Below are 21,669 nucleotides of genomic sequence, written 5' to 3' on the forward strand. Positions count from 1 at the left end.
ATGTGGTGTGTGTGGTATATATAGGATGTGTGCATAGCATGTGTGGTGTATGTTACATGTGTGGTGTATGTGATGTGTGTGTATGTGGTGTGCATGGTGTACATTGGGTATGTGTGTGGTGTGTGGTGTATGTAACATGTGTGGTGTATGTGATGTGTGTGTATGGTATGTGGTATATATTGGGTGTGTGTGTGGTGTGTGGTGTATGTAACGTGTGGTGTATGCAATGTGTGTTTATATAGTGTGTGTGGTGTACATTGGGTGTGCATGTGGTGTGTGGTGTATGTAACATGTGTGATGTATGTGATGCATGTGTATGTGGTGTGTGGTATATATTGGGTGTGTGTGGTGTATGTAACGTGTGGTGTATGCGATGTGTGTGTATGTGACGGGTGTGTGGTGTATGTGAGTGGCTGCTCACACTCAGAAGCTATCTGCTGTCCCCTTCCTAAGGAGGGCAGTACACCAATTGCCCAGGGCAACTTTCTGGGTGCCCCCGCATCCTGCACTTTCCCTCAGCTGGGAAGCAAATGGCAGGAAGGGGAGGGGAGGTGGAAAGAACCTGGGAGACAAAGGGCCTCTGTTGCCCTTCCTCACTCAGGCACAGTCTGGGGAAGACTTTGGCCACAGCCCACACTACAAGGCTGTTTACCAAGCCTGCTGGAGCCTCTGAAGGGCAGCAGCCAGCTCACCCCCCATGCCCTGGATGGCAACAAGGCACAGGAGACCGCAGAGCATACAAACAGGGCAAGAGGAAACCATCTATCAATGACCAGGGACCAGAGGAAGCAAAGTTCTAACATCTCGCTCACGTTCTCCCAAGGCCCAGAGGTGAGTCTCCCTTTGCTGTGCTCAGCACTGGATCTGGGTTCCAGGGGAAGTTATGGATCATCTCAAGCCTCAACTCCATACTCTGATGACTTCCCCTCATGATAAGGTCAAGGGCTGTGCAAACGAAAGGGACAGACTTGTTGACAAGGATCTGATCAGAATGTATTACCATGGGAATCAAAACCAGGTCAGTTCAACAAACACTCTGTGAGTCTCTACTAAGCATCAGGCACTGGGTCAGGTGCTAGGTACTCAGGAACAAATAAGACAAGGTCGCTGCCCAAGAAAATTTCACAAGAAGATGGGTGCATAATCTCGAGATTAGTGTTAATGTGGAATAATGCCCAGGGTGCCTGGGGATTAACCCAGGAGTTTAAGAAAAGCTTCCTGGAGAGTATCATGTCTGAATTCATACCTGAAAGATGAGTAAGACCTGGCCTGATGATGACAGGTAAAGAGGAGAATCCCAGGAGGAGGCAGGATTGTAAATAAAGGCGTGGAAACCTAGAGCCCTAGAGCGTATGGGGAACTGCCAGCAACTTGATCTTATAGGAGCACAGTACGTGAGGTGGACAGATAAAGAGTCTGTGGAGTCAATAGATGGATCAGAGCATGGGGAGGAGTGTGCAGAGTTGCAATTTAGGGTATTGGTGAGACTGAATTGTGGCAGTTAAGAAGACCAACTGGAAGGCATAGGAGCTTTCTGGGTGACAAAGGTAGCAAACGTGCTCAGGTTCACCTGGATACAATGGAGCATTAGACTGCAAGAATTGATGCCTCAGTTTGGATGTTCCTGGAACAAGGGATCAAGTGCACAATTATCCCCACTGCCTTGGGGAAGAAACTCCGTGAGAGGCATGATGCATGACATCCTCTAAGCTATAATTGTACAGACTCCAGACACCTCAATTACTCACCCACAAAGACTGGTTCAACTACTGTGTGGGAGAGAACTGCCTGATCACAGGGTCTATTGCAAATTAGCCAACAGAGGCATCGTTCCCATTTAGAACAGGCAGAGAGGAAGGCTCACTTTAAGCCAAGGGGAAAGGCTGACATAGAGAGGGGATTAATGGTATCTCATAAACATAACAATATCTCCATGATGTGAGAAGGAGTCAAAGAACTCCTCAGTAAGGCGATTCCCCGTTGCCTAAAGCATCCCTCTGGAAAGCCTCAAATATTAATAGAATATTTCTCCTCTCTTTCTCTGTGAGTCCACTCTCCTCTCCATTTGAGATGCCTGAGTATTGGCCCTGATGCCTGAAGAGTGATACATACCACTAGCTGATGCAGGGACATTACTCTGAGCCCTTCTTTTCACCTGCTTTTTCTTTATGTTTCTGGAATGATTCTGGAATCCCCTGTAGCTTCTCTCTTAATCCCCCAGGAAATACTGACCTTATCTCTCAGTCTCTATTTTTACTATTTAGTCAAAAAGAGGCCAGCTTTTCTTCTTTTTTTTTCTTTTTCCAAATTTATTCCAGTGGAAAATGAACATGTAACAAGGGATAAGTGTTTATAGTCATGTAAACCAAGTCCATAGGACACAAGAAAAACGCCAGTGTTTGGTCATGTTGCTAAAGAAATAATGACACCAATACAAAGAGGTGTCTAAAACACCCGTCTTTCATCCAGGTAAAACAACAACCCCAATCATCGATTGTCTACCTGAACAAAAAAGTTACTGATTCATTAGTATAGTTCAGTCAGTTTGTGCGATACATACACGGCCTAACCCTCTCTACTGGCCTTTGTCTTGTGATTCCTTAATGACATTCAACAGAAGACCAAGTGGCTTTGACTACGCGAGACTCTGAGCACCTTCAGAGAGGGAGACAGTCCCAGAGATTAAGGCCATGACAGAGTCAATGGGTGTGGGGGAAGCCAAATTAGTCACTGATAGTTTTGCTGTGTCCCCACCCAAATCTCAAATTGTAGCTCCCATAATTCCACTGTGTTGTGGGAGTGACCAGGTGGGAGGTAATCGAATCATGGGGGCAGGTCTTTCCTGTGCTGTTCTCCTGAGTGAATAAGTCTCAGGAGATCTGATGGTTTTATAAAGGGGAGTTCCCCCGCACGTGCACTTCTTGCCTGCTGCCATGTAAGATATGCCTTTGCTTCTCCTTTGCCTTCTGCCATGATTGTGAGGCCTCCCCAGCAATGTGAAACTGTGAGTCCATTAAACCTCTTGCCTTTATAAATTACCCAGTCTCTGGTATGTCTTTATTAGCAGCATGAGAACAGACTAATATAGGCATCAAGAATGCCAACACTTAGAATCCTTCAGGGAGCCTCATGTCATCATGGCAAAGTTGCCATTTTCTGCTTGCCAGCCCCATCCCTACTCAAGCTTCACTGTCCGTCATTTGAGTGACAATATTAGAGCCTTGTAAGGAAGTGCCAGGCATTTTCTAGTCACGGAATCTTGAATTCACGGCCTTGCAGTTTTAAAAATCAGTGTAGAGTTTGAAAAGTCAATCACATTACTTTTCTGGGGGACAACCAATATCTTCTTGTGGCTGTGTCAAGCGTGAAAGAAGCTGAGCATACGTGGCACCGTGAGATACCACAGCCGTGAGAATAATTGCACCTGTGTTCTGGGCTCCTGCACTTGTCAAACACCACCCAGAGGTTTATATTTATTAGCTTGTTTGACCCTCATCACAGCCCGGCAACAATTATACTATTATATTCTGCACTTTATAGACCGGGAAACCGAGTTACAGAAAAGTTGAGAAACATGCTAAGCCTACACCTTAGTCAGTGCTGGAGCAGGGATTCAAAACCCTACAGTCATGCTCTCAACCAGCCCTGGTTTATCTGCTGCCTCTGCCATTCTCCAGGTGTCACCTTGAGAAATGTTCATCGTTTCAAGCCTCTATTTCCTCACTGACATCACCAGATAATTAAATTTCCCTCATTGATCAATTGTTAGGATTGGAGGGGATTATACATGCTTGGGCACAGGGGGCACCCCCCATATTGACCACTCAATACGTTGCCTGTTTCTATCACTGTCTCCAGCTGGCCTTTCCAGAGCACCCAGGCACATCATGGTTAAGGTGAATCACAGTGATGAACCGTCCTGACTCCACGCAGCTGGGTCACAGTGCCTGCTGTCAGTGGGGTTTGGTCCTGTGACTTCCAATCCCAGCATGAGTATGAAACCACTAGGCTCTTCCTCTCTACTGGCCCAGCTTAGGGGTCACACCAGCCTCTAGCGATGTCTTAGTGTCAATGGGGGATGCTGCCTGTCCTTTTAAGGGGCTTCTTTAAAAAACCTGAAAAAATTTGGGAGTTATGTTCCAAAGCCTATAATTTTAAGTTAGATGGTCTCAAAACTCAATTTCTGAATTTAATAAATTCTTTCCTTCAGTTCCAGCTGCTCTGAAATGACTCCCATGTCTCCTGATACAATTTCTGGCTCACTAGATAGCCTGAATATTTTAAGTACATCTATACCTCTAATACTCCCCAGATTTACTGAGAATCCATCCAGTCATTTGTGTATGATGATAAAATATTTATTTATATGAATAAGTTATTTATATAAATATGTAAGATAAGTACCTTACAATTTTTCTCAGTGGGCTTAGTAGAGATGAACAGAGAGAGTTGGTGACAGAGCCTTGTATAAATTCTGTAATGAAGTTTGTAAAGACCCGACATTGGTTCTTCCAAAAACAATTATTTAAAAATAACATGTTCTTCCCATAGGCATCTTTTCCTTCCCATTTTATGTCACTGTAATTATTTATACTCCACAGCACTCCTCTTCTTGGTGGATACCAATGCACTTTGAGAAGAAGCAGGAATGCATGTATTTCTAAACAATGAACTTTGGAGAAATTAACAGGCAAAGGATCAAGTACTACTAATATAAAAATGAAAAGGTAAATTAAACCCAAAGAGAGATAGCTGCTTGGCTGGTCTGCCTAAAAGGGAGTCAATCTCACTTTAAATCAGATCACTCATTTTTTCTTCAATATTTCAAAATGTAAAAATTTAAGATACAAATTCAAAGAAGTAAAACAATCTAACTTTCAGCATCCCACTTATATCTTAGCCTATTTTAAACTTACTTCTAACTCTTTACAATTTTTTTTAAAAATTATGCTTTCTTAAAAAATACACATAGCTAAAAGAATTCAGACAATTATGGAAAAATATGTACACAGATAAAAGTGAAAAAAATATTCCTTCTCTTAGAATTGGCCACCATGAATCTTTAAGAGGTCACTAAGCATGTCAGCAAAGAGCAGGAGACAGGCAGGAGCCAGCCTGACTGCCTCTGGGTCTCTCCTGGTCCACTCACACGTGTCCAGGCAGGACACAAATGGTGTCTCAGTTTCCTTATCTGTAAATGAAGATGATGATGATAGTACTTACACCACAGGGGTTACTGTCATGAGCTAACCCACATAAAACACCTAGCATATACATGACATAAATGTTAAATATTATTACTACTATTATTACTATTATTATGACTATCGTTATCTTTCTATGCATATACAGAGCTAAAAGGATAGAGAGCTAGTCAGGAAAACTGTTATAAATATTAGAACATTCCATAGATTGTATTTTTATAAAAATTATTGTATTTAATTTTAGCTGAATTTGAATTGAAGTTGAAAATGAAAAGACTAACTAAAGAGACACTTCACTTTGAAATAAATGTCTCTTTACCACACAAGTGTTATTTCCAAAAAGATCTTTCTAAAGTAAAAAATGAAGATTAAGGAAAACAAAGGAACAGTCAGATCCATTTTAAACAAATCTTTATGCTTCAGTTTTAGACGTGGGCTCTTAGCAATTCTGCCAAGACCCAATTGTTTGTTATTTTAGAACATTTTTAAATGATTTGCAGGCACATCATGTCTGCAAGATGATCTGGACCCATAATTCTTATCATTATTAATAACAAGTTTTATACTTAAATAGATTCAATCCTCACTACAAAGCCATTTAACACATTTTCTCCTGCTCAGTTTACTTTTTAAAAAACCCTTTGGTTAGATGAGACTTACACAGAGCTATTTGCTGTTTGTTTTGGTTTTTATTTTTATTTATTTTTAAAATTTGTTTGTTCATTTTTTTTTTTTATTGAGACAGCGTCTCTGTGTCCAGGCTGGAGTGCAGTAGTGCCATCTTGGCTCACTGCAACCTCTGCCTCCCGGGTTCAAGCAATCCTCCTACCTCAGCCTCTTGAGTAGCTGGAACTACGGGCATGCACCACCATGCCTGGCTAATGGTATTTTTTGTAGAGACGGGGTTTCACCATATTGTCTAGGCTGGTCTCGAACTGGGCTCAAGCAATCCACCCACCACAGCCTCCCAGAGTGCTGGGATTACAGGCATGAGCCACTGTGCCCTGCCTTGTTTGTTTTTTAATTTCCAAAATGGTTCAAAGATGTTCACTTGAGTTATTTCATGTTTGACAATATTTCCTTATTACCTTTAGATTTTGAAGGCACCTTGGCTATGAATAACCAAGTGACTCTTTTAGTGAGTCTTCTTGCCTTAAGACTTCATGTTTTTTTGGTACAGGCAATCAGTATAGAAAAGTCTGAGGCCAGCTGAATTTTCTTCTTTGTAGTAGCAATTTTACTTTTCTGCCTGGATTCATGGGAAAAAGAGTATTTATAAAACACAATAGCTTAAGTAGTAAGTGTCTAAGTATTAAGAATTCTGGAACAATTTTTTTAAAATATGGTATGGTTATTTGTTCTTTCAGAAAATTTTAAATATCAAATATATTTTTCCATTTGTAGGGTTTTTTGTTTTTTTTCCAGAGACATCACTTTACCTTATGTTGAATGGTGCACAAACATATTAGTTTCTCTCCTATTTTAATATTTTTGCCTTTATCACTTACAATACTCAGTGATTATATTAGGACTTTTCTTCACATCACTAATTTGATTTTTTAGACTTTTCCCTGTTCTTGGTGTTTCTAATTTTTTTACATTATTTTTCATTTTCTTATTAAGGCATTATTTACATGCCATAAATTCACCCTTTTAATGCAGAGTTCTTCACGTTGATAAACAGTCATGTAACCACGACCACGATCAACATGCAGAACAATCATTCATCTTCAAAATATTTGCTCACACCCTTTTGTGGGCCCTGGAAACTACCAATCTGTTTTCTGTCTGTATCGTTTTGCCTTTTCCAAAATATTATATAAATGCAATCATATATAATGTAGACTTTGGCTTCTTTCATTTAGTGTAATACATTTGATATCCATTCATGCTGTTGCTGGCACCAGTAGCTTGTTCTTTTTATTGCTCTATACTATTACATTTTATGGATGTACCACAGTGTGTTTATCCATTCCCCTCTTGAGGGACATTTGAGTTATTTCCAGTTTGGGTTGATTGCAAATAAAGCTTCTATAAACATTTGGCTTTAAGTTTTTGTGTGAACACAGTTTTCATTTCACTTTGTAAATCTTTTGCCTATTTTACAATTGGATTTCTTGTTTTCTTATTCAATTTTGAGTATTCTTTACATATTCTGAATGTAAGTTCTTTACTGCAGAAATGATTTGCAAGTATTTTCTCCCAGTCTGCAGTTATCTTTTTATATTTTTAACCAAATTTATGTTTCAGTTCAGTAACAACTGGGTTTTTGCTTATGTCCTACGATCTGAAAGTTCTCTTCTATTTAACTGCCTTTGACCATTTTATCTTGAGCTAACCCGAATTTTCATTCTTACTAAATTGCTCTGTAACATAAAACGATTGCTAATAATTTCCTTTCATCTCGTATTTTCTTCTAGCTTGGCTTCCTCTTTTTTTTCACACCATGATCCTCTGGGCCCCCACCCCCACATACATGGTACTTTTGCACCTGAAAGAGGTCGACTTGGTCATCATATTGCATTTTCCATCTGGCTTATGTTTGCCCAACTCTGATTAGGCACATGTTTGCTCTGATAAAGTCTGGGTCACTGTTTTCTCACTGATCCGTGATTTTCAGATGAGTGAATATATCATAGTCCACTCATTTTCTCTACCCCAAGAACATGTTAGAGGTTCAGGGAATGCTAAACGAATGCTGCTTTTTAATTTTCCTTTCTTGTTTTAAAAAGAATGCCTGCATTCAGCTCTCCCTCCAAGCATTTGTTAAATATTCTTTACCAGGACTCATTTCATCTGGTTGGTGTGGGAGTAGGGGGTGGTCCCACTCCCATTGGGAATACCCCCAATTCCCTGTGTAGTTGCCATGTCCTCTCTTTGGATAAAGAAAGTGACTGCTCTGTTGATCACATGTCTAGTTTCATACCTGTCTCTCCAACAGCCATCTCCACTTATCTCTTAGATAAAGAAAATGTAAAGAGCTCCTTTTCTTTGGAGATGGGGGTACACAGTGAGAATTTTAAGGGCTCTGACCACTTAGCGTGGCTTCTGAGGGTGGAGAGGGGTTATTAGGAACCATCCCCACTGAGGTCTCTCTGTCCTCTCCAAGACCTTCTGTTTTTTCCTTGGCCACCAGGCTTTGGACTTTGTGGCTCCAGGCTAAGCTTTTCTTCATTTGGTTACTGTTGGTCCAAAACTTCACAATAATTTTTTATTACTCTTTTGTGCCTTTTATTAGACTTAGGAAAGGAAAATAGCAATTCACTCCTTACTTCTGACATTAATAAATTCAAGCCAATGCTTAAAATATTAAAATACTTCTGCACCTACCGGAAATAGTCACTGTGCTAACCCCACTCATGCAACCCCCCAAATCCTTCTCCATAGCCCTGGCTGCCCTGGCTTTTGCCCCCTAGAAATTCTCTACCTCATCTCCTGTTGATCCAGTTCCCAAAAGACTGATGCCTGGACCATCAGAGGACTTCTAGGGCCCTGTACCAGTACTGCTGGTCACTGCTGAGTGTGCCTGCATTGGTTGGTACCCAAGTGAGACAGGCTGCTAAACATTTTCAGTGTCACCCCTACCTGTGATTACCTCTCTCATGACACTATTTTACCCAATTCTGTCATCTCACAGTCTGGAATATGAGTTCCTTGAGGGTAACACTTCAAGTAAAAAACATTTATTTAACGTCTTTTACATGCCATGTTCATTTTCCATTTAACCTTTCCCAAGATATAGCAAAGTTGGTATCCTAACCCCATTTTACAGATGAAGAGCCTGAGGGCCAGTGAGTTTTGGCAGCCTGTGCAAAGTTACTTTGCTAATAAGGGCCTAAAACAAGATTTAGTTTCAGCCATGTTCCATCAATTGCCTAGGAAAGATATTTCCAGTGGAATGTTTTTATAAATAGTACTGTGGAATAGGAGCGACCTCCATATGATAAACGGGGTGACATTAATTTCTTATAACATGCATGCACCTGAGGTTTTTTTTGAGGACTTAAAAAAAATCTTTATATCTGTTAGAACATAGCAGACTGCTTACTTTGGGAGGCCAAGATGGGAGCATCACGAGGTGAGGAGATCAAGACCATCCTGGCTAACATGGTGAAACCCCGTCTCTACTAAAAATACAAAAAAATTAGCCGGGCGCGGTGGCGGGCGCCTGTATTCCCAGCTACCCGGGAGGCTGAGGCAGGAGAACAGCGTGAACCCGGGAGGCGGAGCTTGCAGTGAGCTGAGATCGCGCCACTGCAGTCCGGCCTGAGCTAAAGAGCGAGACTCCGTCTCAAAAAAATAATAATAATAAACAAATAAATGATTGTAAAATTAAGGCAAGCAAGGATGAATGAATGGATGGATTAACTGATTAGCTGATTAATTACTGTTTCACAAGGCACATTATTGGGAATATGCAAAGGCAGTGTAGTTGAATGAGAGGCAGTATGTACAGCATTTTAGAGTGCAGACTATGGACTTTCACGTAGTATGAATAAAATAGAATTTACTTGATAATTCTCTATTAATAGACACTTAAGTTGTTTCCATTTTATATTATTCAATTAATAATGATGAATATCTTGTATATATTTTGGGAAGCATGTGTGGATGTTCACATTAGGTTAGATTTCTAGAAATAGAATCATTTGCTCAAAGGCATATGCAAGTTGAACACACTTTGATACTTTTCAATTTCCTTCCAAAGTGGCTCCTACCGTTTTATACTGCTGCAAACAATTTGTAGAAGAGCCATTTACCCACACCTTTACCAATGATGAGTACATTTTATCTGTACAACTTTTGTTAAAAATATCAGTGCTTCTTATACCAGTCAGAATGACAAGTAATAAAAAGTTAAAAAATAACAGACGCTGGCAAGGTTACAGAGAAAAGGGAACACTTGTACACTGTTGGTGGTAATATAATAAATTAGTTCAACCATTGTGGAAGGCAATATGACGATTCCTCAAAGAGTTAAAGCAGAACTGCTATTCAACCCAGCAATCCCACAACTAGGTATGTACCCAGAGGAATATAAATCATTCTACCATAAAGACGCATGCACGCAAATGTTCACTGCAGCACTATTCACAACAGCAAAGACATGGAATCAACCTAAATGCCCATCAACAACAGACAGAATTAAGAAAATGTGGTACATATGCATCATAGAATACCACTCAGCCATAAAAAACAAGATCATGTCTTTGCTTGAACATGGATGGAGCTGGAGGTTATTATCCTTAGCAAACTAACGTAAGAACAGAAAGTAAAATACTGCATAGTATCACGTATAAGTGAGAGCTAAATTATGAGAACTCATGAACATGAAGAAGGGAACAACAGACGCTGGGACCTACTTGAGGGTGGAGGGTGGGAAGAGAGAGAGGAGCAGAAAAAAAAATAACTGTTGGGTGGGTACTAGGCTTAATACCAGGGAGATGAAATAATATGTACAACAAACTCCCATGACATGAGTCTACCTATATAACAAAATAAACTTTTATTTTATTACCTATATAACAAAATAAAACTTAAAATATACCTATGTACAATATATGTATATAATATATAATATATATGTTATATAATATATACTATCTATATATGTATATTATATTCTATATAGCTAATATATTTCTACATAGCTAAATATATATAATATACATATGTTAGATATTATATCTATTACATATGAATATTATATATACACATATATTCATGCCTTATAGCATTCATTTACATTTTCTGGTTTACCAGTGAGGCTAAGCAAAATTACCACTATTAATAGTTGTCCTTTTTTGCTGTGAATTGCCTATTTATACCTTTTGTTCATTTTTAATTCAGTTATCATTTTATTAATTTATATTATGGATGTTAATCAGCTGCAACCAATTCGTTGGCCCAATGATGCCCCTGATTATTACTGTTATTTTACTTTGTTAAAAAAAAAAGTAAACATTTTTAATCTAATGATTGTTTCAGGGTGCAGAAGTTTTTGGTATTTTTTTTGTAGCCAGTTGATCAGTTTTTTCCCTTGTGGCTTCTGAGAAAAATAGTGATTATAAAAGTATTCTTCTAAATTTTCTCCTAATAGTTTTATAGTTTTGGCTTTCATATTTAGATCTTAGATCCATCAACATCTTTCTTTGTGAGTGTGTATGTAATGAGAGCAAGAGGAAAAAGAGGAAACAGATGTGTACTAATGTCTAACTTTATTTTCTAACTTGTTTCAACACTGTATACAGGTACTTTTGCTTAGAAAAAAAATCAAGAATCCATGGAAAACTAACTAGAACCTTTTTTTTTTTTTTTTTTTTTTTTGAGATAGAGTCTTGCTCTGTCAACCAGGCTGGAATGCAGTAGCCCAATCTCAGTTCACTGCAACCTCTGCCTCCCAGGTTCAAGAAATTCTCCTGCCTCATCCTCCCGAGTAGCAGAGACTACAGTCATGTGCCATCATGCCGGCTAATTTTTCTATTTTTAGCAGAGACAGGGTTTCACTATGTTTGGCCAGGCTGGTGTTGAACTTCTGAGCTCAGGTGATCCACCTGCCTCAGCCTCCCAATGTGTTGGGATTACAGGTGTGAGCCACCGTGCCTGGCCCTAACTAGAACTATCTAAATAAGATGGTTTTTTAATGTATCTAAATATAAAAGGCTTTCATTAAGCAGTCATAAGCAATCTGTAATTAATGAGAGTGTTATCTCTGTCCAGTATCTAATTATTTTGTTTTGTTTTGTTTTTTGAGGCAGAGTTTCGCTCTTTTTGCCTAGGCTGGAGCTAATTGTTATCTTTGTAAATCTTGACTTACTGCCTTGACCAGGGCTCAGTACAATGTTAAACAACAGCACTGGTAGTATACCTTTGATTTATTCCCCTTGGATGAGAAGGCTTCTGTTATCTCATCAGTACATATATTATTTGTTGTAGCTCACTGATTAATAACCTTCACCCAGTTAAGAAAGTTCTATTCGATTCCTCTAAGGACTCCAAACTCAGAAAGCCCTATTCCTGACTACAAATCCTACATCTGGCCAGGTGCGGTGGCTCATGCCTGTAATCCCAGCACTTTGGGAGGCCGAGGCGGGCGGATCACAAGGTCAGGAGATCGAGACCATCCTGGGTAACACGGTGAAACCCCATCTCTACTAAAAATACAAAAAAATTAGCCGGGCGTGGTGGTGGATGCCTGTAGTCCCAGCTACTCGGGAGGCTGAGGCAGGAGAATGGCAAGAACCCGGGAGGCAGAGCTTGCAGTGAGCCGAGATCGCGCCACTGCACTCCAGCCTGGGTGACAGAGGGAGACTCTGTCTCAAAAAAACAAACAAACAAACAAACGTCATACATCTACACTGGCCTCTCTGAAAATGGAAGAATAGAACAGTTTTCTCATAGTCTTCAATTAATTGCCTATTGAAGACCTACTCTCCCAGGGCCTCCTGAATTCTGGGATAGGAATTAATGAGAGGTTCTGTGGGAGGGCTTTTCTCCCACCTGTAGGGCTCGTGTGTCCGCAGCTTTGCTGTTTTGTGTTCCATCTTCCTTTTATGTCTTCTAGCTTCAGAGATTCCTCACTGTCCTCATCTGCAGGGAACATACCTCACAGCTTTTGGCATGGCATGACTGTGTGTTTATTTTTACTCCTACATTGCTTCTGTGACAAATGGTGGAATATGATTTAACAGTTTTATGTATTTTAAAAATGTAACAAAGTATTCTAGATCTCTCTCTTCTCACAATGTCTCTCAGAAATCTAACTACATAAGAACTGCCTTGTTCTTTTTAATGACTACATAGTATTCCCTTGTATAGCTGTCTCATAATTTATAATAAAACCAGTCTCCTACTGAGAGATCACCTTTAGGTTTCCTCCAATATTTTGCTATTACAATCAATCCTGCCACAAAGATTCCTGGGTAAACATTATTTTGCACATGTAGAAGTTTATTTGTGAGAAAATATCTATAATGAAGATTCTAGGAAAAAGGTATATGCATTTTTAATTTTGAAAGATATTGCCAGACTGTCTTCCATGTAAGTCATACCACTTTAGAATGCCTATCTGGGAACATTTTTTCATTTTCTCTTTTAGGTTGTCTTTATCTTATTGATTTGTAAAAGCTTATGTATTTTTGAAATTAGCTCTTTATTGGTCTTATGAATTACAGACACTTCCCCTGTATTTTTTAATGTTTTGATTATTTTTAGCTATGTGGAATTTCTCTACTTGTATGAAGTTGAATTTATCAGCATTTTCATTTGGGGTCCCTGCTTTTGTGTCATGCTCCAGAAGGTCTTCCATACCCCAAGACTGCTTTTAAAATTTCTTCTGTGGTTTACTTTAAAACCTTTATAATTTTGCCCTTTAGCATTTAAATTTAATACATCTGGAATTCACTGTAATATAAAGTACAAAGCATGAATCCAACATTTTCTCATCCCCTGAGGGACAGCCCCAATACATTTATTTTGAATGCTTATAAGCCATTTGTACCAGCCCCTCCCTTAGCCAGGTGCTCTCCATTTACAGGAGTTCTTGAACAACCCCAACTCCTCTCTCTTAACACATGCAGTGACTGCTAATTAGTCCAACATGTGAATGGTCTAAGGTATCACTCCTACATCACCAGTGTGTCTTTCTCTCCAGAATGAATCCCATCAGCATAAAAAATGTGGTCATACTGCCCACTAAAAACCAAACACATTTAAATGAACTCCGCCACCACCCACCCTCTACCCTCTCCCTACCCCAGGTTTCCTCTGAGTGTCCACGCACCTTTATAAGATGACTCCTTGAAAGAGTTGCCTGTTGTCTGCACTGGGCTGTCTGTGATTCCTCTCCTCTGACTACACTCTGTCTCCTGGACCCAGAACCAAAACAGGGCTTGGCAAGGACACCAATGACCTCCCTAGGCTAATGGTCTCCAGTGGCTGGGTCTCAGTGGTCTCCACGCTACTTGATCTATTGGAAGATCGGCAGCATAAATCTCTCCTGTAGAAATGCTTCTTGACCTGATTGTAGGTCATGGCTCTCCCTTAGCCCTCTTTCTCTTGCCTGCTGTTCCTTCTCAGTCCCCTCTCCCAGTTTCTCCCCATCTGCCTGTTAATTATCTATGCTCCAGGGCTGAGTCCTCAGACCCTCTCCCTCTTCTATCCCTTCCCTCTCCCTTGGTGAGCTCATCTAGCCTCCTGGTTTTAAACAGCATTTAAATGCCAAGGACCCTCAGGGTGATGTCTCCATCCCAGACCTCAACACTCAGCACCAGACTCCTGTATAATTGTCTATTTGGCATCTCCACTCTGTGTCTAATTGAACATCTCAAATTAACACTTTCAAAAACGAATCTCTATCTCCAGCTCCCAAACCTGCTCCTTCCTTTCTTCCTCCACCTAAATAAATGCCAACTTCATCCTGGCAGCTGTTCAGGAAAAACCCTTGGAGCCGTCCTTGGCATTTGTCTTTGTCTCACATCTCATATTCAATCAATCACCAGTCCTATTGTGTCTACCCTGAGAATGGATTCAGAAACTGACCACTGCTCACCATGCCTGTCCTAGGCCCCAGGCCCCAGGTCCCAGCCTCCAAATTGGTCTCCTGCTTCTGCCCTTCCCCACGGCCAGAATGTGGTCCTTTGCAGGCAGGTCCCAACCTGTCATGGCTCTGGGAATGGCTCCCTCCAGTGGGTCCCATGCAATTCGCGTGGCCTCTAAGGCTCTCGAGGACCTACCTCAGAGGTCTCCATTCTCACCTCCCACCATCCTCCCCCTGCTCCCTCTGCAGCCACCACACGGGACTTCTCCACACTCCCTGGATATACCAAGCACCTCCCTGCAGCAGTGCCTTTGCACCTGCTGTTTCCTTATCCTGGAATGCTCTCCTCAGGTGGCCACGACTCACTCCCTCACTTCCCTTATATAAAATCCCTGATCTCTGCTCAGCATCAGATTCCAGTGGCCTTCCCTCATCTCTCTAAAGCAGCAGCCTCCACCCCAACACAGGCTATCCCCTCCCCAGCTCACGTCTCTCCATAGCACCTAGTCCCTTCTGTATCATGTGCCGGTCTGATTTCTCTAACTCCGCACCCTAGATGTGAGCTTCTTGAGAGCTGAACTTCCACAGCTGAATTCCTAGCATCTCAAGCTTGCCTGGCTCAGGGGAGGCATTCATAAGCATGCGCTGAATAAGGGAAGGAATTCTGTCCAAGGAGCATCTGCTATATATCCTGCCTTCTAAGGCACAGTGAGTAGATGTACAGTCAAAGGGACTCAACTTTCATAGTTCAGTTAAAGGAACTCTGTGCTAGAGCAAATAAAACTCCAGTATATTCCCATATTTGGTATAACCAGGTGGAAGCCTTGGATAAGTCCATTTATTGAGTGTCTAAAATTCCTTGCCAGAAGATAAACTTCATCCTACAATCATACCCAGTTCACTGGAATTTGGGTAGAAAGTGTGGGAAAATACATATTATAAAAGCAGACTTTTCAACTCTCCCCTGACCCTAATCCTCCTTTTAGTCTCACTACCTTGTGAATGGTGCCTGGATGGAAACAGCGACCCAGACACCCTTCTCCACACCTCTCCAACATCCAAGAAGACACCAATAGAAGCTCCTTCATTTCTCTCAATTCTATTTCCTTCCCACCTTTCCGGGTACCTCTGTCTTAGAGCAGCCTCATTTGTGCGGATTGCTGAGAGAGCTCTCTAAATGGCCTCGTAACCTCCAGTGGTGCTTCCTTTCTGTTGATGCTTCACCCTGGAGTGCAAATATGTCCCAGTCCCTCCCTTGCTTGGAATCCATCAAATGTTCTTCCCTTCACGTCAGGTTCAATCTCCATGAATGATCACACAAGACTCTCCATGTGGCTGAAGCTTCACTGTGATCATGTACTGGACTCATTACCTACGTTTCTCAAAACCCATGGTGCAATTCCAGACCTCGGTGCCTCAGCCTGTGCCACTCTCTCTTCCCAAAGCAGCCCGGCTTGTCTCACCTCCCTCTGATGTCTGCCTTTGCTGTCCCCTAGCTCCTGTATTTCCTTCTCTCAAAGCCCTTTCCAGAAGGCTATAACGCTAGCTGAAGTGTCTACCTCCCCCAGCTAGACTCTGAAAGGAAACAGCTCTTTCTACTCCCAGCCCTGCAACCAACCATTATGAGCACTTGATAGGTGTAAAATGGGCCGGTGAAGGTGTGGAAGCACTTGGAAATGTTTATAAAACACTAAACAGGTATCACCAAGGTATTGTCACTGCAGTGTGGAAGACTGTGCAGAGGAAAAAGATTGGTCCGTGTGCCTTTAGTGCCATGCCTCACGTGCTTCCAGCCAAAGTCACATTGTCCATTTTGCACTTATCACCTCATTCATTTCACGACTGCCCCTTTGCCAAAATATCCCCGGGATGCTGTCTGCAAATCACAAAAGTGGTTATTCAGCTTATTTTGGGACGCCAAACAGAAGCCCATTTCAATTTCACTGTTCAAATAAACATTCTACCTACTGGACTTTGATTCCAGCTGGAAATGGACCAGGTAGCTATGTATTCTCTCACATTTGCAAGAGGGGAAGTTGCTGGCCTTGCCATTTACTCCTTTAGGTCAGCCAAGGACCAGGACAAATGTACATTACACACTGAGCATACATCTGGAAAAAGCAAATATCAGAAGAAAACACTGTGACCTTAAGAGCAATCCAAAGCACAGAGCCCTGAAAACCTCCTTGCAATTCGGGTTTTTTCCTACAGAGCAACACATTAAGTTGGACCATTAACCCAAATGAAAGGTTTCAGATTTATTTCATTGGCAGATGGAAATTAAGTTGCAGAAACATATCCAGCACAGGCTAGAGTATATTTAATTTCATTTATTTTTAATTACACAAGTAATACATGAATATATTGTCACTATAAAAATTCAAACAACACAGATAAAGTTAACATCACTCTTGACCAGTCACTACTCCACTCATTCCCCCTGCCTGAGAGGTACTGCTGCTATCAATTTGAAGTGTCATGAGACACACACAGTACACACACACATTCACACACCAAGATATGAAAAATAACTATTTAATCTTAGCTTTAGCTGAGGCCCCAAGATACTAAATACTATATTCTAAAGTAAAATACAAGATCATTATGGAGCACACCAATGGAAGTGGCCAAAAATTGTTATGTGACTCTTAATTCCTGAACTATGTCAAGGACCTGAAAGGACTTTGAGAAGGACATTAAGTGGAGAGAGGTTTTGATGAAAGCTGTCAGCCATCCACCTCCATGGAGGCAGTGAGAGATGATGCATTTTTGTTCTGCTCAAACCAAGAAAAGCTTCAATGGGACAATTTTGAGAGCTTGATATATGTCCCTGACACGGTTATACTTGGCCATCTTTTTCTGTATAAGTTTTGCATTTTTGTTTCTCAAAATCCCTTTCTTATTCTCAAGGTTAGGAATATACTCTATTTTTCTGGTGTTTTTATTGTTTAGGCATTTGATTTGCCTAGCTTTTTGTTGTCATGGTGTGATAAAGTGACCTAAATTTACTTTTTGCCAAAGGGATAACAAATTATCTCAACACCGTTTATTAAGTAAGTAGCCCTTCATTACACTCTGGCTTGGAGGCCACTTTTATCGGGTACTAAAATTCCAAATATTCACTGGTCACTTTCTGAATTGTGTTCCGCAGCATTGATCTACTTGTTTATTCCTTTAAGAGTGCATTTGTTACAATTCAATTGTGCTTCCTTTTCTAGAGGTTGAGAACAGCACAAAAATAATGTTATACTTATCATTGTGTGTTTTCCAGATGATACCAGGCAAAGTAAAACCTGGGTTGTGGTGACAGCAGCACTCGTGTCTGACGTCTGATGCAGACCCTTCCATGAAGGCAGGTCACTGACTTGCTCTCACCCTCAGCCCCTCTGCATATAATTCTCAGTTTCTCCAGAAAGCATTTTACCTGTGCTTCAGAGGGACTATTTAACAAAGACATTTGCCATTTTCCACTCCTTCTTTAGCCTCCCTAGGAGATGCCCGGTGGTAAGTCTATGAAGCTAACACGGTGCACCCACACCTCCATCCCTGTCCCTGTCCTGCCACATGGCTGCCTCTTTTGAGGACTCCACCTGGGTCATTGAATATACTCTGGAGGGCACAGTGATCTAGCCTTCCCATTGTTTCTTACTTCTTTTTGCAGCACTGTCTTCCTTAGAATCAGGCATAAAATCATGGGACTCCAATGGAAGACTCAGGGGACCCTGACCCACGGCCAGGCAGACAGCCCCTCATGGGCCCAGATAACCCTTCATCCATATGAATTGAACACTGTAAGATATCCACAGCTTCAGTTCTCATAGCTGGGACCTCTGCTTTATGCCATAAAGTTTACTGAGAAACAAGCATTTGTTCACTCTTCTGGGCAGTGGGCACAGTGCTGCATCTTTATGAGGCTTTTGTGAGGACTAAAGAGACCCTATATGCTCAGTTCATTATAAGGGCTTAGCAGGTGCTATTAACCTTTCCTTCTCACTGAATCAGGCTGACACCCAGAGGAAGCACAGCCTCCCCTCTGAAGCTTCCTCTACTGCAGTCTCTGTGCTCATCGCAAGGATCTCTCCATATTGACTTATATTTGTTTCTGGTCTTATATTTTTCTCTATGGACAGACTTCTATTTTCAGAAGATAGATATTTAAGTCACAATATTCTGGACTCTGGCTTAGTTAGACCAACCGTCTCTTGATCGTCTGTGGAAACTGAATCAGGAACACCCCAGAGAGCTGGCTCTGGATGTAATTCACAGCTTCATTTAATTATTATCATCAAAGTTAATGAAGGCCATAAACTGTTTCATAACATACCAATGGGAAGTGTGATTGGAGGGAAAGCTGGACACCTCACCATAAAACTGGCACAGCAGAAACGGCTCGACTTAACAAAACCTTCTTATGAAGAAAAAGACAATGAAACCATGTTCAGTTTAGTGAACCTTTCACACTTGGCAACATGAATGTTAAGTCAAAAGAACAATGGAGCTATGAGTTTTTTTAATCAAATTTTTATTTTGGGTCAAATAAGCCATTTTGTTTGTTTGTTATTAAGTGTAAAGAGAGCTTTCGGTTAGCTATTTAGTTATAACTTTATCTCACCCACTTCTAAAAAAGCGTTGAGGCTACTTGAAGTAAAGTCCTGTAGACGAGAGAGCGTAACACTAAAAGATAGAAAGAAAACTTAGAAGATGGAAGAGAAATAATTGCACTAGAAACCTGGCCAATATCATGAACAGGCTCCATATAGGGACTCCTGTATATAGATCGCTGTGTGTGTGGATAGTACGTTCAATAAATGTATTATCTGAACTGCTTTTAAAGTTCTACTCTTGGATTCCTGAAATACTATCTCTATGGATTTGCCTATTCTGGATGCTTCATATAGATGGAATCATTCATTACGCAACCCTTTGTATCTGGCTTCTTTCATTTAGCATGAGGCTTTCCAGGTTCATCCATATCATAAGAAGTATCAGTATTTTACTCCACTTTAAAGTTCTGTAATAGTTACTATCTATCTATTTGGTATACATACATGTATATATTAATTTTGCTTATCCATTTATTCATTTATGAACATTTGGATTGTTTCTACCTCTTGGAATTGTAAATCATGCTGTTATGAACATGGATGTACACATACCTGCTTGAGACTCTGCTTTCAATCCTTTTGGGTACATACATCAGGGTGGAATTACTGGATCATATGGTAACTCTATGTTTAACATTTTAGAAAGTGTTTTCCCCACTCTTGGTGGAAAAAGCACAAACACAAACTGTGGAAAACACAAACTACTTTTCCTCTGCTCCCATACCACAACAATTACACAGAAGGCTTCTGTGTCCAAATGCGTGTGTGGTTTTCTCCTACATACCAAGAAAGCAATCAGTTCTGCAGCAGACACTAGCTGGGAATCCTCTAGTTCAATTCAGTACTGACACTATCTACAGAGAGTTAGCATAGCTCCCACAAGTTAAGGGCTCAGTCCTACAAAACTGCTTCCATCCCACTTCTGATGCCAATCAGAAGCACAGGTTGTTTTGCCCATGCTTCTGAACTGCTGGCTATAAATCAAGTCACATGATCCCCAACTTAAATTTGAGTAATTTGCCAGAGTGGCTCACAGAACTAAGGGAAACACTCATGTTCACCAGTTTACTTTTAATATAAATGATATTACAAATGATACAGATGAAGAGATATATAGGTCGAGGTATTAGGGAAGGGGTGCAGAGCTTCCATGCCTTCCCTGAGCATGCCATCCTTCAAGAACCTCCACGTGTTCAGCTATCTAGAAGCTCCCCAAAGCCAGTCATTTTGAGATTTTATGATTGAGGTAAACCATTGGACACTGGTGATCAACTTAGCCTTCAACCCCTTTCCCCTCCCAAGAGGCTGGGAGATGGGGATGAAAATCCAACACTCTAATCATTTCTTGGTCTTTCTGGGGGCCAGCCCCCATGATATGGTTTGGCTGTGTCCCCACCGACCCCCCCAAATCTCACCTTGAATTGTAGCTCCCATAATCCCCACATCATGGGAGGGACCTGGTGGGAGGTCATTGAATCATGGGGACAGGTTTTTCCTGTGCTGCTCTCATGACAGTGAATAAGTCTCATGAGATTTGATGGTTTTATAAAGGACAGTTCCTCTGCACATACTCTCTTGCCTGCTGCCATGTAAGATGTGCCTTTGCTCCTCCTTCATCTTCTGCCATGACTGGCAGACCTCCCCAGCCATGTGCAGCTGTGAGTCCATTAAACCTCTTTTTCTGTATAAATTACCCAGTCTTAGGTATGTCTTAATTAGCAGCATGAGAATGGACTAATACACCCCATTTGAAGCTACCTAGGGACTGTCTGCCACCAGTCATCTCATTAGCACACAAAAAGACATTATTTTGGAGATTTTAAGGATTTTAGAAGTTGTATGTCAGAAAACAGGTCAAAGACCAAGTATATATTTTACAGTATCACACCTACAATAAATACCTAACAGGCAATTAATCATAAAACAAAAGTATGGAAAAACAAAAGTTTATAAGTCAATGTATGTCACACACACACAGGCTGCCATCTGCCTTTTTTTTTTTTTTTTTTGAGACAGAGTCTTGCTTTGCTGCCCAGGCTAGAGTGCAATGGCATGATCTCAGCTCGCTAACCTCCATCTTCTGGAAAATCCTAGTGATTCTCCTGCCTCAGCCTCCCGAATAGCTGGGATTACAGGCACGTGCCACTATGTCTAGCTAATTTTTGTATTTTTGGTAGAGACGGGGTTTCACCATGTTGGCCAGGCTGGTCTTGAACTCCTGACCTCAGGCGATCCACCCACTTCGGCCTCCCAAAGTGCTGGGATTACAGGCGTGAGCCACCGTGCCCAGCTTGTCATCTGCCATTCTAAATGCCCATGACGG

General features: G+C 41.1%; 2 long non-coding RNA genes across 6 annotated transcripts in view, besides 1 other annotated feature; one reads left to right on the forward strand and one right to left on the reverse strand.

Moving 5' to 3' along the window:
- The window catches only part of LOC105371009 (uncharacterized), a 29,043-nt gene extending 13,695 nt beyond the window's left edge, over positions 1 to 15,348 (reverse strand). For 2 of the 3 annotated variants that reach the window (XR_001751697.2, XR_932697.3), the window contains exon 1: positions 13,987 to 15,348. This is a non-coding gene — a long non-coding RNA (uncharacterized LOC105371009). The remainder of the gene's footprint in view (positions 1 to 13,986) is intronic. The other variant, XR_001751698.2, reaches the window with a different exon arrangement.
- LINC02251 (long intergenic non-protein coding RNA 2251) lies at positions 596 to 19,896 on the forward strand. 3 transcript variants are annotated; one of them, NR_146563.1, is made up of 3 exons: positions 596 to 831; positions 4,602 to 4,727; positions 18,014 to 19,896. It is a non-coding gene; the product is annotated as a long intergenic non-protein coding RNA 2251 (long non-coding RNA). The 3 variants fall into 3 exon arrangements; NR_146564.1 differs by lacking the exon at positions 4,602 to 4,727; NR_146565.1 differs by lacking the exon at positions 4,602 to 4,727 and having other exon boundaries at positions 18,404 to 19,896.
- Positions 1,625 to 2,126: an enhancer, noted in NCBI's record as "OCT4-NANOG hESC enhancer chr15:98547297-98547798 (GRCh37/hg19 assembly coordinates)". NCBI's record gives its function as "activates a minimal SCP1, AML or CMV promoter by ChIP-STARR-seq in naive H9 embryonic stem cells {active_cell/tissue: H9 hESC(naive)}" and the evidence as "EXISTENCE:reporter gene assay evidence [ECO:0000049][PMID:30033119]".
- Positions 19,897 to 21,669: the final 1,773 nt, after the last annotated feature.

Source organism: Homo sapiens, chromosome 15, assembly GCF_000001405.40.
Source record: "Homo sapiens chromosome 15, GRCh38.p14 Primary Assembly".
NCBI classification, from domain to species: domain Eukaryota; kingdom Metazoa; phylum Chordata; class Mammalia; order Primates; family Hominidae; genus Homo; species Homo sapiens.